Source organism: Homo sapiens, chromosome 8, assembly GCF_000001405.40.
Source record: "Homo sapiens chromosome 8, GRCh38.p14 Primary Assembly".
Lineage (NCBI taxonomy): Eukaryota > Metazoa > Chordata > Mammalia > Primates > Hominidae > Homo > Homo sapiens.
Window position 1 is genome coordinate 34,311,505 of NC_000008.11, and position 14,879 is coordinate 34,326,383.

The window sequence follows — 14,879 nt, forward strand, 5'->3', positions numbered from 1 at the left end:
TTAACATCCTCTCTCTGTACATGAAACAGGCTTAGAAAAGTTAAGTAACTTGCTTAATGTTACCTAGTCAATGACAAGGCTGACATTTTCATGACATCTGACTTTTTTCAAAAGAGTTACTACCAAGAAATTCCATATAGTAGTTTAGCTTGATTGTAATAAAAAATACTGAATTAAGAATCTATTTTTATAAAAATAATAGTATTCTTATTGAAAAACACAATTACAAGAAATAATTTGATGTCAATATAATCTCAATTTGACTATAAGAGCTTTTTTATAGCTTCATGTGGAGATTATTGATCCACATTTGTTGCCCAGACCGAGGTGCAGTGGCATGATCTCAGCTCACGGCAACCTCCACCTCCCGGGTTCAAGTTATTCTCCTGCCTCAGCCTCCCGAGTAGCTGGGGTTACAGGCACACACCATTGCACCCAGCTATTTTTTGTATTTTTAGTAGAGACAGGATTTCACCATGTTGGCCATGGTTGGCCAAGCTGGTCTTGGACTCCTGACCTCAGGTGATCTGCCCACCTTGGCCTTCCAAAGTGCTGGTGTTACAGGCGTGAGCCACTGTGCCCAGTCTCTAGCTGTGCCTTCGCCACATCACATGCAAACGTGACCCTCTGATCCCGTTGAAAAACTCAATAATCTTGAAACAAGCATTTCATTTCACAAGGGTGCATTTTTGCAGTATGTTTCCTACAATAATCTCTCTACTGCCTCTCATCTAGAGAACTTTCTTAACTTCACTGACATCTCTATCAAGCCTATTTAGTTTCCTCCTCTTATGTCTCTGTAGCATTTTGAATGAAAATTTTAATTATTTAGCTATATAGGTACAAATATAAAAATAAGACACAATTATCGCTTTCTGTGTCTGTTAGGGCATGAATTATATATGATTCACCATATATACCCCAACATGTATTGGACCTGCAGTAAAAGTTGCTTCAGTAAATGAATAAATGAATGAATAGCAACTACTGAAAATTTCCACAGCTTGAAAGGGTAAGGAATTAAATGTGGTTTAAAAACCGTCTCCCCACATCGCCCATTCTTCTGTTTCCAGATCCAAGAGGACACTTTACCAACAAGTAACACCCCAGGAGATGACTGAAGGCCAGTCCCACTTATCTCTCTTTAGTCCATTCTTCAGCAGGTTCATCCCTTCATTCTTCAGGCCTTAGCATCAGGAAGGTTTTGGTCTTTGGAGCTTGGAATGGCTTTCTATTGTTGATTGACATTTACCCCTGCACTGTTCCAATTGGAATATTAGCACAAAGGAAGCACTGGAAGTTGCCAGAGAGATTCTGTACTTCTTTCCTTTCCCAATATTATTCATTTCCTTACATTATTTATATTTGCATGATTTTTGTGTCTGTCTTACTATATAATAAGCTTCTTTGGTGATGGGTACAATATTATGATTTAGTCCTTATTTTCTAACATCACCATTCCTTACCAGCACCTTAATGCAGGACTCAGCAAGATGTTTTGTTCACAGTGCATCCCTGAGGCTATTAACTAAATGACTATCTTTGGTAAATATCCTTACAATATGCAATAGTGCTTACCAGTGCATTGCATTCCCCGTGGTACATCAGGCAGGACTGTGTAAGCAATAATTCTCAATCTCTATTGTTAGAAGGTTTTCTTCAAGTTAGTGAGGAGGTTTTTTTGTTTAGTTTAGTTTTGTTTCACCAGGCACTTGATTGCATAATGTGCTTTTCACACGGATGACCTCACTTGAGATAAGTGGTCATGGTCATTTGCTTGCACATGGGGTGTCATACTCAGTCATGTGATGCTGTTATTTCTAACCCCAGTTTTTTGGATGAGGAGATCTAGGGTATACTGAAAAGTTCAATCAGTTATCTATGAGACAATGTGGCCAGATAATTTCAACCAATAGTACTGAATAGTGACTACTTGATTCAATTCGGTCTCTCTTTTTTCTTTTACAGAATTTTGAATACAAGTAACAGACAGAGAAAAATGGTACAAAGGGTTAAAAGCAGTCTTAGTAACATTGGAGATGTGGAGAGAAAATTAGAAGAGAGAAGCAGAAATAAGGAGGCCCTGAGTCACAAGTAAGGAGAACCTCTGGAATGAAAGTAATGAAAACCAGCATTTGAATGGGCAAGATGAAAAACAGAGGGATTCTCAGTCCTTAGCGTGATGGTTGGGTTTTGGACAGTAATGACAGACATTCCAGTTCTCCATGAGGTTTGCCCAGATGTTCCCATTATACTCTATTTTCTCCTATTTTTGTAGTTCATGGATTTGTTTCTCACTAGGTTACCTAAATGCCTTAGGCTTTTTCAGGTTTCTTTGTGAAATGTGATTCTGTCAATGAGCTTTCAGTTCAACAACAACAACAAAATTAAAGTTAATAATTATTCTGTTAATTAAGAGCTCGCCTTCTAGTTGAAGACTTTGCATATGAGCTGAATTTGAGTTTAAACAGTTCAGTATGTTTTGTTAGTGTTTATGAATCAGGTAACTAACACTGAAGATGTGGGTAGAGATCCTCATTTCTATGTCTTGTCTCCTTATATCCTATGTGTTGCCATTTCTCTTAAGGTCAAATAATACAGTTTGTAGTTAGGGACCAAAGAATGTCCAAGGGGATTAAAGTCAATTAATATATTCATTGTAAAAAGTGTTAACAGAGTTGGGAAGTTTCAGTATTCAATCTCAAAAAGCAAAATCTATTATGTGACTTCGGTGTGATAAAGGAGGCATGAAATATTTTTTTCAGTTCCAACAAAGAAATAGATATATTCTTAGACATATGTATAACTTGCTCTTACTTACTCAGCTTATAGCAAAAGTTCTTGACAAAATGGTGATCAAGTGCCAAAACAGTCCATTTAAGGTGTTATGCAGAGTCCATGCCTTATGATTTTTTAAGTGAGAATTACAACCATATGTCTTTGATGGTTTGAATATGTAACTATTTAAGGCAGTGGACTGGATAAAATTACTTTTTTGGAGATCCTCTTCAAAGCTATAATTCTGTGATCATTTATACATTTTGTATAGCAGATATTATAATGTGAATACATGCAGCTTGAACAATGAAAATATTTTATCAATTGCCCTGTAGATTTGTGTTTTAATAGCTTTGTAACATGTAGGAAGCACTTTAGAGTATTAGCAAAAAAATGATACAGTATCATTAGAAAGTATAGTAATCATAGATGTGATTAAGAAAGCCCTGTGTCATGGTTGACAATAATCATCTGAATAAGTTACTATTGCTGTAAATTCTCCGTTCTGTGCAATTATCCTGCTGGTTTCACTGAATCTGCAGATAGTTCAAATAATCTGCAACAACAAGCAGGACAAAGGTCACCTGAATGAAGGGCACTACAAGTACAGAAACTTCATAGAGAAAGATATAGTTGCCCTGGCTAAGGCATCATAGTATTTCCCCCACACAAAATCTCTTCTCCCAAACCACTTGGATGTCAACAAACTTTGGAAAATCCATTAGCAATGTAAATGCTTTATTACCTCTGAGTTTTGTGAAACAAAACAAAACTCATAGAAGCCTTTTTATTTCCTTCCTCAGTTTTCCAAAGGGGCACATACGCAAATAGTCGAGATGGTCTGAAGACATTTGAACCAGTAACTTGAGGTCCCTTGGGAATGTGCACTCACTCTAATTTACTTTCCTTTCAAATGAGAAGCAGGGGAAGATCTATTCCCATGAATGAGTTGTTAGTGACCACACCTGTTGCCTCAGCCTCACGGTTCATCTGATAATTCACTCACTCATTCATTCATTCATTCATTCATTCATTCAATGGATCCAGGTTGAGTGTATATGTCAGCCATAGTACCAGATACTGGACAACTCAGAACCAGAGGGACCTTTGAAAAGAGCAAAGGTGATCTTCTATAGAGAATCATCAGGAATTATCCTTGTAAATAATTGTTCATAAATCATCACTAAGGGCAATTGTTTAAAAAGTCAAACTCAAAGTGGTGAAGAACTTAGAGCCTGAAAGGAATGTTTCAAAGGAATATTTGAAGAAGTTCATGAAGTACCTAGACCAACAGAATATGTTCATTGAGCGGAAGACAAATGATATTCTGAGAAAACTCTGTCTGGGACCCCATGGGTAGAAAACAGAAGGCCAACATAATTTCGACTGAAATAGAAATGTCCTCTTTTCTAGAGTCTCATAGCATACTAACGAAGTTTAAATTTTAAGGACATTTTCTGAGTGTTTTTTTTTTTCTTTTGTTCCTCTGTGATGTCATCCCATGGGAGAAATATACATTATTAACAGTACATTTTTGCCACCGGATTCATCTTATAGATCACTGGTGCCCACACCACTAAAAGCCACTTCTTCTATACTTGTACTCAGTTAATAGTTCCCTAGTTTGTAGTTATAGTTCTGTGCCACAGGCACTAACCACCGTCTCTGAATCAGGAGCTGACAGATATGAGAAAGGTATGAACAAAACCTAAAACCTCATCTAGAAGAAAAACAGCTTCCCAGAGTCATTATAACAAAGTAATAGTCCTCACCAACAATAAATATCATTTATTTAAAACAAAATTCTATACAAAGCTTTTTGTTGGACAGTTTTCATAGATTATTTCACTGAATGCTTTTCCTCAGCCCACAAGGTAAAAAGTATTTTGCTTCTTTTATAGATGAGGAAACAAGCTTAAATTGAGTAGTTTGTTTTAAACTAACCACACAGCTAGTAAGTGGGTTTAAATGGAGATTTGTCTTACCCCTCAAACTTGAATTCTTACTGACTTATATGATGGTAAACATCTGCTGGTGGCTGAGTACAGAGCCAGGAGCACTGGAGTTATAGGTCAGAGGACAGAAAATACAAAATGGCAGCCAGGAGAGGCTCTAGATTCCTCTGGAACTAACTCAAGTCCTGTCCACAGCACTTACCAGCTGTGTCACCCTAAATAAACCCTCTGAACAATGGTTTTTTCTTGTTTAAATGGGGGCCCACAGTTGTGTATATCTCCCAGGGTCCTTGTAAATTTTAAATGAGGTGATGCATATTGCCTAAGTTTCCTGTTGGTGCTTTAACAAATTACCACAAGCTTAGTGGTTTAAAACAACACAAATTGATTACCTCACAGTTCTATAGTTCAGAACTCCAAAATGGACCTTGCTGGCTAAAATCAAGATTTCAGCAGAACTGCATTTCTTCTGGAGGCTTCAGGGAAGAATCTGTTTCCTCACTTTTCCAGCTTTTGGACAATTTCCACATTCCCTCCATCTTCAAAGCCAGCAATGGCCTGTTGAGTCTCTCTCACATCTTATCGCTTTGACATTGACTCTTCTTTTGCCTTCTGCTTTTGCTTTTAAGCACCCTTGAGATTACATTGGGTCTACCCAGATATTCCATAAACATCTTCCTGTTTTAAAGTCAGCCAGTTCTCCTTTAATGCAACCTAATTCCCCTTTGCCATGCATAGGGCATGGCATATTCAGATTCTAGCCATTCAAATGTGGACATCCTTTGTCTTTTTGTCCAGGGGTGGAGGCATTATTCTGCTTAGCAAAAATATGAAGTATCTTGTGCTTTTAGAGAACTCAATATATAATTTCTGATGTGATTATTGGTATTATTTTAATATGCAGATAATATAACATGAATTCATTATCCTTATGAAATGCTCAAACAGCTCAAATACACACATATAGTTATGTATATAGTTTTTTCTGTAACTATATACATGTAAATATATATAGTTATAGCTCCTAATTCCTGAATTCTACTCCCCTCCAAAAGTAACACTATTAAGAGTTTAGCATGCATCCTAATAGAGTTTTCATTATTTATTCCAGACATATAAGTATTCATATATATACATATATATATAAAAAACCTGCAATGGCATTATATGAGGTTGGTGCAAAAGTAATTGCGTTTTTTTGCTGTTACTTTTAATGCAAAAACCACAATTACTTTTGCACCAACCTAATATCATTTGTATTATTTAGTAACTTGCACTTATCGAACAATATTCCCCCTCAGTAAGTGTATCTCTACCTTATTCTTTACTCTATGGTGTCTTATAGTGGAAATATGCTATAATTTATTAAACCACTACCTTCATGGTTTATTTTAAGGTTTATATCATTTTTGGAATTATAAACAATGCTACAATGAGCATCTTTGTGTACCTTTGCAAATGTAATCCCTAGAAGAGATTTCTTGAGTAGAATGGATGTACTAGCTTAAAAATATTATGTAAGTTCTTTAAAACACACACACACACACACATTTCCATTGAATATATAAGTGCAATCAAATTGTACACCCCTCATCCTCTCTCCTCTGCTCATATCCACACTCTTAACTACCACATTACGTCTCCATGCTAGTAACATGTTCCATCTCCAGTCTGTTGCTAAGCTTGGGTATATAGAGTATAATATAATTCACTGTTACTTTGACTCATGATTCCTTGCTCATCAGCTATATTAAACCACTTTCCATATGTTTATTGGCCACTTAGTTTTGCTTTTTGGTGAATTATTCATACTGCTTACCTATCATTCTTTGAATTGGTTGTCTTTTCATTATCAATGTGTAAGTGCTTTTTATTAAGGAGACTAAGCCTGTGTTATCTGTGCTACTTAAACATTTTCTCAGTCTATTAATCTTCTACTGACCTAGTTTTTGATGTATCTTGCATTTTTTTTCTACTTTATGTTGTCCACCCTATCTTTCCTTTCTTACCGAGCTACTAGGTTTCTGGTCTTCATTAAGGAGGTCTCTTATGCAATTATATTGGTAATATAGCTTTCCAATTGCTCATGATATTTTAGTTTGTTTATAATATCAGAATCCTTTCTGGAACTTATTTTTATATGTGATGTAAAATAAAAATCCAAATACATTTTCTATGCAATGTACAAGTACCATTTATTAAATAATACACCACTAAGACTCTAAATTTAAACTATCACCATTACTGTACATTACATTTTAAAATATACTAAGATCTACTTTTGAATTTTGTTCTGTTCTGCTAGTATACTTCTCTATACCACTATGAATACTATAATTCTATTTTAATGGATTTATAGTATGTTCTGATATCTGATAAGATGACTTGACTTTTTTTTTCCTTTTTTTGACAGTTTACTTAGTTAATCTTAGACATTCATCCTTTTAAAAATATTATTTTTATTCAATTCAAAACAAACATAATATAGTAACAAAATAAAAAAATAATATACCAACATCTCATTGGGAGCACAAATGAAATTGCATTCAATTAATATATTTGTTTTAAGAAAGATACTTATTTTCCCTCTTCCTCAGCCACACAACCCTCAAATTTGAGCTGGGCACGTGGCTACTTGGAATAAAGTCTGTATTAATAGCCTTCTTTGCAGACGAGTGAGCTCTGTGCTTAATTTCTGGTAATGTTCTCTTTACTCTCGGCAAGCGTCTGGCCTAGATAGGATAAAATGGGTAGTGAGAAAAAGTAGCTATGACTATTAACTTAGACCTTGTGACTGGCTCGGGAAATGAGGACCTTTACAGCTATGGCTTATGTTCATTAATTATTTATTTCTTCCCTTTACTCCTACTAATTTATTTAAAATACAATAGTAGGCTTAGTTCAAATCTGTATCACTCTGCTGTTGAGACCTTATATAAAAGACATTTGTCACCTGGAAAAGGGAGAAAGACACTAACGGGCACACATCATTATCTGTGTAAATAAGTTCTGTCTCTTCGTATTCCATTCCATGTTTTTCCTTCCCAACAATTGCCCTGAGAAGCTCTCTCACCTGCAAAGAAGGCTATTAATACAGACTTTGTTCCAAGTAGCTATGTGCCCAGCTCAAATGTGAGGGTTGTTTGGCAAAGAAAGGAGGAAAATAAATATTTTTCCTAAAATAAATATATTAATTGAATGCAATTTCATTCATGCTTCCAATGAGATATATCAATGAACATCTCTTCTATTTTTTGTTTGGCTCACTCTGTGTAGACACTATCAGGAGATTAGAGGAAGGGAGAAGACATCTGCATTTATGTTGCTCAGATTTTTTTGATGATAGTTTTATCTTAAGTTGGCTGCAACCCTCTGCTGAAGTACACAGCTCCTGCCAAATAATAGCTTTTTCTGCACAGCTACTCTCTGAGTTCTAGTATCTACTCCACATCCTTTGCCCCTTCAGTCCTAGAAGTAGTAATGGCTCCTGCCATTGCTGATCCTGGAATACTACCCTATCCTTTATTTATTTCCTTAATGTTCATGCATTTTTTAAAATTTTTTTAATTTTTAATTTTTTTTATTTTTGAGATGGAGTCTCTCTCTGTCCCCCAGGCTGGAGTGCAGTGGTGCGATCTCGGCTCACTACAATTTCCGCCTCCCGGGTTCACGCCATTCTCCTGCCTCAGCCTCCCGAGTAGCTGGGACTACAGGCACCCACCACCACGACTGGCTAATTTTTTGTGTTTTTTTTTTTAGTAGAGACGGGGTTTCACCATGTTACCCAGGATGGTCTTGATCTCCTGACCTCGTTATCTGCCTGCCCCAGCCTCCCAAAGTGCTGGGATTACAAGCGTGAGCCACTGTGCCCGGCCAATGTTCATGCATTTTAATGGGCCATTTTATTAAAGTCTTCTTAATTATCTAGTTTGAGTGTGCCATTTTTTATTGCCAGGTTCCTGACAATACACCCAATCTGCTATAGACAGCACCCACGCTGTGTTGATCTTGGTGCCTCCAAATACAGGTCCCTGTAACTATCTCAGCCTCTCTTAAAGATCTTCCTTTGGTTGGTGTATAGTTAGTTTTTTATGGCTGAGTAACAAATTAAAACAATCATTGGGAAATAGTTTTCTGGGTAGCCTTGGAGAGACCCAACTCTTCTCTGTCTTTCTCACTTGTAGTTCTCAATGTAACTGTGGAATGTACTGGGAATGGAACATCTTGATGTAAGGAGGAGCTAGCAGGATCAGCCTAGACTCTGTTCCAGTTCCCCCCTAGAAACAGGACATCCTTGAGTGGGTCAGCCCGGCCAGTCTTGTGACCCTGAGGTACAAAGCCCAAGGTGGGCTGGCTGCAAGAGAGGCACATAGAGATGAGAGTCCATCCACCCTAGGTAGCTTTCCTGAGTTTTAGGGGCATGGCATTCATTTAGAAGCCTGGATAAACATGAGTCCTAGGCTTCTATTGTCCCTTGCTGCCTGTGTATAATTAATAAACCTGCTTCATGTAACTTTGTGTGTGGGTGTTATGTCTCACCTGACTCAGACAAGTCGGTAACCTGCGCCCAGTGAATGCGCTTCACAGTGATAGCAGTTTAACGTCCACCTATTCATTATCTCACAGTTCTGTAGGTCAGAAGTCTGGGCTTGGCATAATTGGCACAATAGTCTTCCATTCAGCTTCTCAGAAGGCCAAAATCAAGGTATCCTCTGGCTGTCTTCCTGGGAGCTTGGGATCTTCTTCCAGGCTCATTCGTTGTTGGTGGAATTAAATGCCTTGTGGTTATAGGCTGTGGTTCCATTTCCTTGCTGGTTGTTGGCTGATCCTAACCACAAGGCCTTCTCACAACATAACAGCTACTTCTTCAAAGCCAGCAGGGGAATTTCTCTCTAGCCCACTATGAGAGAGTTGTAAAAAATATAATGTAGTCACAGGAGGGAGCCTCCCATCATTTTTACTGCACAAAGTGACTGATATAGTTTGGGTATTTGCTTCTGCCCAAACCTCATGTTGATATTTAATCCCCAGTGTTGGAAGTGGGACCTGGTGTGAGGTGTTTGGGTCATGGGGGAATATCCATGACCCCACTGTGATCCCTGGGATCACAATGAGTGAGTTCTCACAAGATCTGATTGTTTAAAGTGTGTGGAACCTTCCCCACTCTCTCCTGCTGCTGCTCTCACCATGTGACGTGCCTGCTCCTGATTCACCTTCCATCATGAGTAAAAGCCTCCTCAGGAGCTGAGCAGATGCCAGCACCATGCTTGTACATGCTACAGAATGATGAGCTAATAAAACCTCTTTTCTTTATAAATTACCCAGTCTCAGGTATTTCTTTATAGCAATGCAACAAGGACCTAATGCTGTACTTAATTAAGGGAGTGATATACCATTATATTCACACATTTCCCCCAAACTTGAGGGAAGGGACTATACAGAGTATGTGTGCTAGGGATGGGAATCCTGGGGGTCATTTGTGATTCTACTTACTATAGTGGTGAAGGGGGTTGGGGGTATCTAACTGCTTCAGATATACCTACAACTAACTTTTCTATTTTATTCATTAGTGTACCCTCAGTTATCTAAGAAACCTTTGTCTCAATTAGTCAGCCTTACTGTAGTTCTGTAGTATAAAATGATCTGTTGATAAGCTTTCGCAACTGTTGGCTTAGATGCAGCATTCTTGGGTCTGATAAGACTTAGTGATTTAGCTTGTCTTGAGATAAATTTTCCAGTCTCCTGCCTGAGAGTGTGGTAAGTTTACACCAGATTGTGTCTCTTCTGTGGTTGATTGAGGAAAGAAAGCTGGAGGCCTAATAATCATCAAATAGGCAGACTTTAACTTAATCATTCTACCTTCAGAACAGCACTTCACCTTAATGATTTTCTGCCTATAACTCCAAGTCTCTCTGGTTTATTATCTTTTCCAGAAAATTGACTCCCTTTCTCCTATGAGGATAGTGCAGGGTGTTGCGTTTCTGCTCCAAGTAGTGTTGGAAGCTGGGCTTTTAACTGTTTTCTTGTTGTCTATTAATCTAGACTCACCCTTTTGATGTCCCACCTTGTCTTTCCCCTTCAGTGTTCCCACTGCCCAGTTTCTCAGCTATTGGGGGATTCTGTGAACAAAACTTGCTTGTTTATCTTCAGATTTACATGTTTGGGAATGAGCTCTCCTGCCAACTCCTTTATTATCCTTGACTAACAGCTTTTAATTTCCATCTATTGTGCTTTGAAGTTACCTCATTTCCTTGAATATAATGTTTTTGCTTCTGTGTCTACATTGATTATTGCCTGAGGATGAGTCATTTTCAATTAGAACAGGGGACACATGTGGTTTTATTCTACCACGAATACCAAAGGCCAATATAATAATAATAATTACTATATTCTTATAATTTATTTATTTTTTGAGACGGAATCTCACTCTATCGCCAGGCTGGAGTGCGGTGGTGCAATCTCCGCTCACTGCAACCTCTGCCTCCTGGGTTCAAGTGATTCTCCTGCCTCAGCCTCCCGAATAGCTGGGACTACCTACAGGCACCCGCCACCACGCCTGGCTAATTTTTGTATTTTTAGTAGAGGTGGGGTTTCACCATGTTGGCCAGGATGGTCTCGATCTCCTGACCTCGTGATCCACCCGCCTCAGCCTCCAAAAGTGTTGGGATTACAGGCGTGAGCCACTGCACCCGGCCTTGTTTTATTTTTTATTTTATTTTTTGACTGGTAACAGTAGAATTTATTCAAATGTGCCTTACTATAGGCGCTGGAGCTTGTCCGTGGTCCTCTTGATACATAAGGCCCGGACATTCTGCCAGTTTTTCTTGAGCAATGACACCAGGAATTTGACAGCCAGGTGAATGTTATACACAAGCTCATAGTCTGTCATCTTCACGTGACCAACAGCCACAGCCAGAGGTAACACCTTCTTCATTTGGAACTTTATCATAAACTTCACCTCGTCCACTTTGGCCACCATGTTTTCCTTGGGTGTGAGCAGGGAAGGGAACTTTCCTGCCTTATTTAGGCCTGGGCCGAGGACTGGGATCTGCTTGATCAGAGACTCTGAGGCCAAAATTGCATCATACTTCTTGGCCAGCTTCTTGATCAGTTTCTTATTCCTGTTGAGTTTTTTCAGTGCCTCGATATCCATGTGGGGAATATCCACGGCCTTGGCCTCGTCGCAGTGCTGCTGCCTCCCCAGGACACACACAGAGAACTTGGGGTGGGGAGTGGACTTAAGTCTGACTGTGCCCGAGAAGCGCTTGTCCTTCTGGGGGTCATAATTCTTTAAGCTGATCTGCAACTCCACCGTATCCAGGAACTTGTGGCGTTTGTGATGGTTCCTGTGCAGGACTTCCCGCACCGCCTCCTGCAGTGTGTAGCGAGAGACTTTGCTACTCATGGCTTCTTGAGCCGGCTAACCGGAAAAGAGCCTGTCATTATTTTATAATAAAGTTCATATAGCATGGCATCTACTCTGGAAGTTTGGGCTGTTCTTATGGAAAGAGGCTTAAACCCATTGTCTCTGAAGAAATAAGAGTGCTAACAGGATGGCTCTTCATACAAGTGAAACTGAGAATTTGCATGGATTACTTGTGTTGGTTTGTTAGTCTACCTGCCCTCTGCAATGCATAAAATCACTTTGCCAAGTCAGTAAAGGCCATTAGAGTTGCTGGAGTGATGATTAGATGGGTTTCTGCATGCGGAGAATTCATATCAGCAATAGATCTGCTGGCAGCATTTGTGTTGTTCAACTTTTAGAAAAAAATCAAGTAATAAACATGAATATCAGTGGTTTGAGTAAGAAATATACAGTATGGTATTTAGGGGTAAGAATTCCCATTAGAAAATCCAAAATGGGCTAGGCTGGGGGGAAGAATTCCCATTAGAAAGTCCAAAATGGGCTAGGCACTTTTTGATTTGCTAAAATAAATCAATTATTAGGGAGCTATTTATTTTATTAAAACATTTTCATTTATTGAAAAGAATGTCTAAGCTTCTTATTAACACATGTGGGAGACACACAATAGACATCAAGGAACTCACAGGTGGTGCTGTTAACCAAGATGCGCAGGCTAGCTTTTATGTAGAGGTGGATAAAATTGTAGTGAAGGCTTGAACTAAGCACACTGGATCTCAAACTTGGCTGCAAAACATGAAAACTTAAAAAAAAAGTGAGAATCTCATGGATGTGTATGCATGTGGGAGTGTGTGCAAATACACACACACTGATGCCTCAGATCACCTCAAGGAGATGAAACCAGAACTCTGGGGATAAAACTTATGTTCTAGAATTTTACAATTTGTCTAGCATTTTTAGATAGTTTCAATGTGTAGCTAGCATTGTGAATTGCTGAACTAAGATTACAGTCAACTTTGGAGGAAGATATAGATGGGAAGAGAGGTAGTTACTTTTTTTCTGTTTCTACTGATGTTTCATACATTTCGAGAAATCCATTGAGAAAACTCTTTAAACACTTTCTGCTCTCTCTACTTCCCCTAGGAATAGGAGTGGCAGAGAATTGGCTCTCAGTCACCAAATCTCAGTATCCTACATACAGAATAAAGTGCCTTGCTTTAGAGCAAAGACTTGGTCAATTAGCATTAGATAAATTTTCTGTGTTTCCAAAGGTAGAAATATTCTCACCATCCTCCCACTTTAATCAAGCCACCAATTGCCATTTTACCTATTTAATTACAGGCTTCCTTTTGAAAGGTTGGCTGCTGAGGAATTAGTTTCCAGGGTCACTGAACCCCTGTGAGCAGCCTCGCCTCTGAATGCCACAGAGGGTGCTCATTCTCAATTCAAAGGCTTGTCTACTTAGATCTCTGCTTCAAGCTCTGGATGTAGTCAGCCTACAAAACATTGCTCAGAAAGAAAGTTACAAGTGCTTGATCAGCCCCTGTGAGGATATTGAATTCAGTTCTTATTTTTAATCATGTTTAAAGGTGGGATCTCTTCATTTGTTATGATAAAACCCATCTTTCATTCTGAAAAGTAAATCAAAGCAAGAACAAAACAGTGTAATCAGTGCCTCTGATGGTTTATACAGGATATGGAGATATTTCAGAATTGTAAATATGAATGTGAATTTTTGTATCAGTGTAAACTGATACTGATACTAAGAAAAATTTCCCCCTTCCATTGTCAAAGAGAAGAGAGTTAAAGTTGTTTCTCTCTATCATTGTTCTTTTCTTCTGACATAAGCAGTTGTTTTAGCCTCTGAAGACTCTGGTAGATATGCATAAACTGATCTGGGTTTCATTCTATTTCACAAATCAATGAACAAAGCTGTCCTCCTGAAAAATTATTGAAAGCTCTTCATTACAAATGACAATGAAGGAAACTAGAAGAACCAGATGAAGTTCTAAATCCTAAGTGGGTTTTCTGAGCATCAGAATAGGCTGAGGTAAAATAAATAAATAAAAAATAAAGCCAACTCTGTTTGACTTGCAAATTTGTTATGAAATACATATGGAATGCTTCAATGCTGGCTTAACCAGCCCTTCTTCTCTGAAATAATAGTGCAAATTTATTTAGCTTCTTTCCTCCTTGAAGATTCTCAAACATTCTATAAGTTATGAGTAGAGATGTTCCCTAGAGAGATAGAAAAAGAACATAGCAGAAAGGGGCAGTAAACATTTCCAGCCCTTCAATGATGTTAGAAACTATTTGAATTCAGGATAGTGACAATATTCCTTCCTCCAACATATGTATTAGACAGTTTCCCAGGTTTTATAGTTGAATAGTACATGTTGGAATAGTGAGTCACCATACAAAAAAAGTCTTTATTTAGAATTTTTTGGTAAAAAGGAAGAAAAAACATTTTTTTATATTATTAAAAAAGGGAACAGTTTTCTAAAAAGTGACTACTCTTTGACACTATCTAATTTGAAAGAGTTTTGAAAACATTTTGGCACATTTCAATATTTCAGTTGGATTGGAGAAGACATTCTTCAATTAGTAAACATTTATTTCAGAGCCTTCCCCAAGAGAAAGAGTTGCTCCCTCACTTTGTTTTCTTTTTCTTTAGGAATCTAAGGGAGTGATACATCTTTCTGTCTTATAATCTCTGTAGATCCAAATTCACAAATATTTAGCCTATGGAATTCAGCACTATGTTTTGTGTTTTGCTCAAATTG

At 38.1% G+C, this 14,879-nt stretch overlaps 1 pseudogene; it reads right to left on the reverse strand.

The window, feature by feature from the left end:
- Positions 11,456-12,171, reverse strand: RPL10AP3 (ribosomal protein L10a pseudogene 3; annotated as a pseudogene).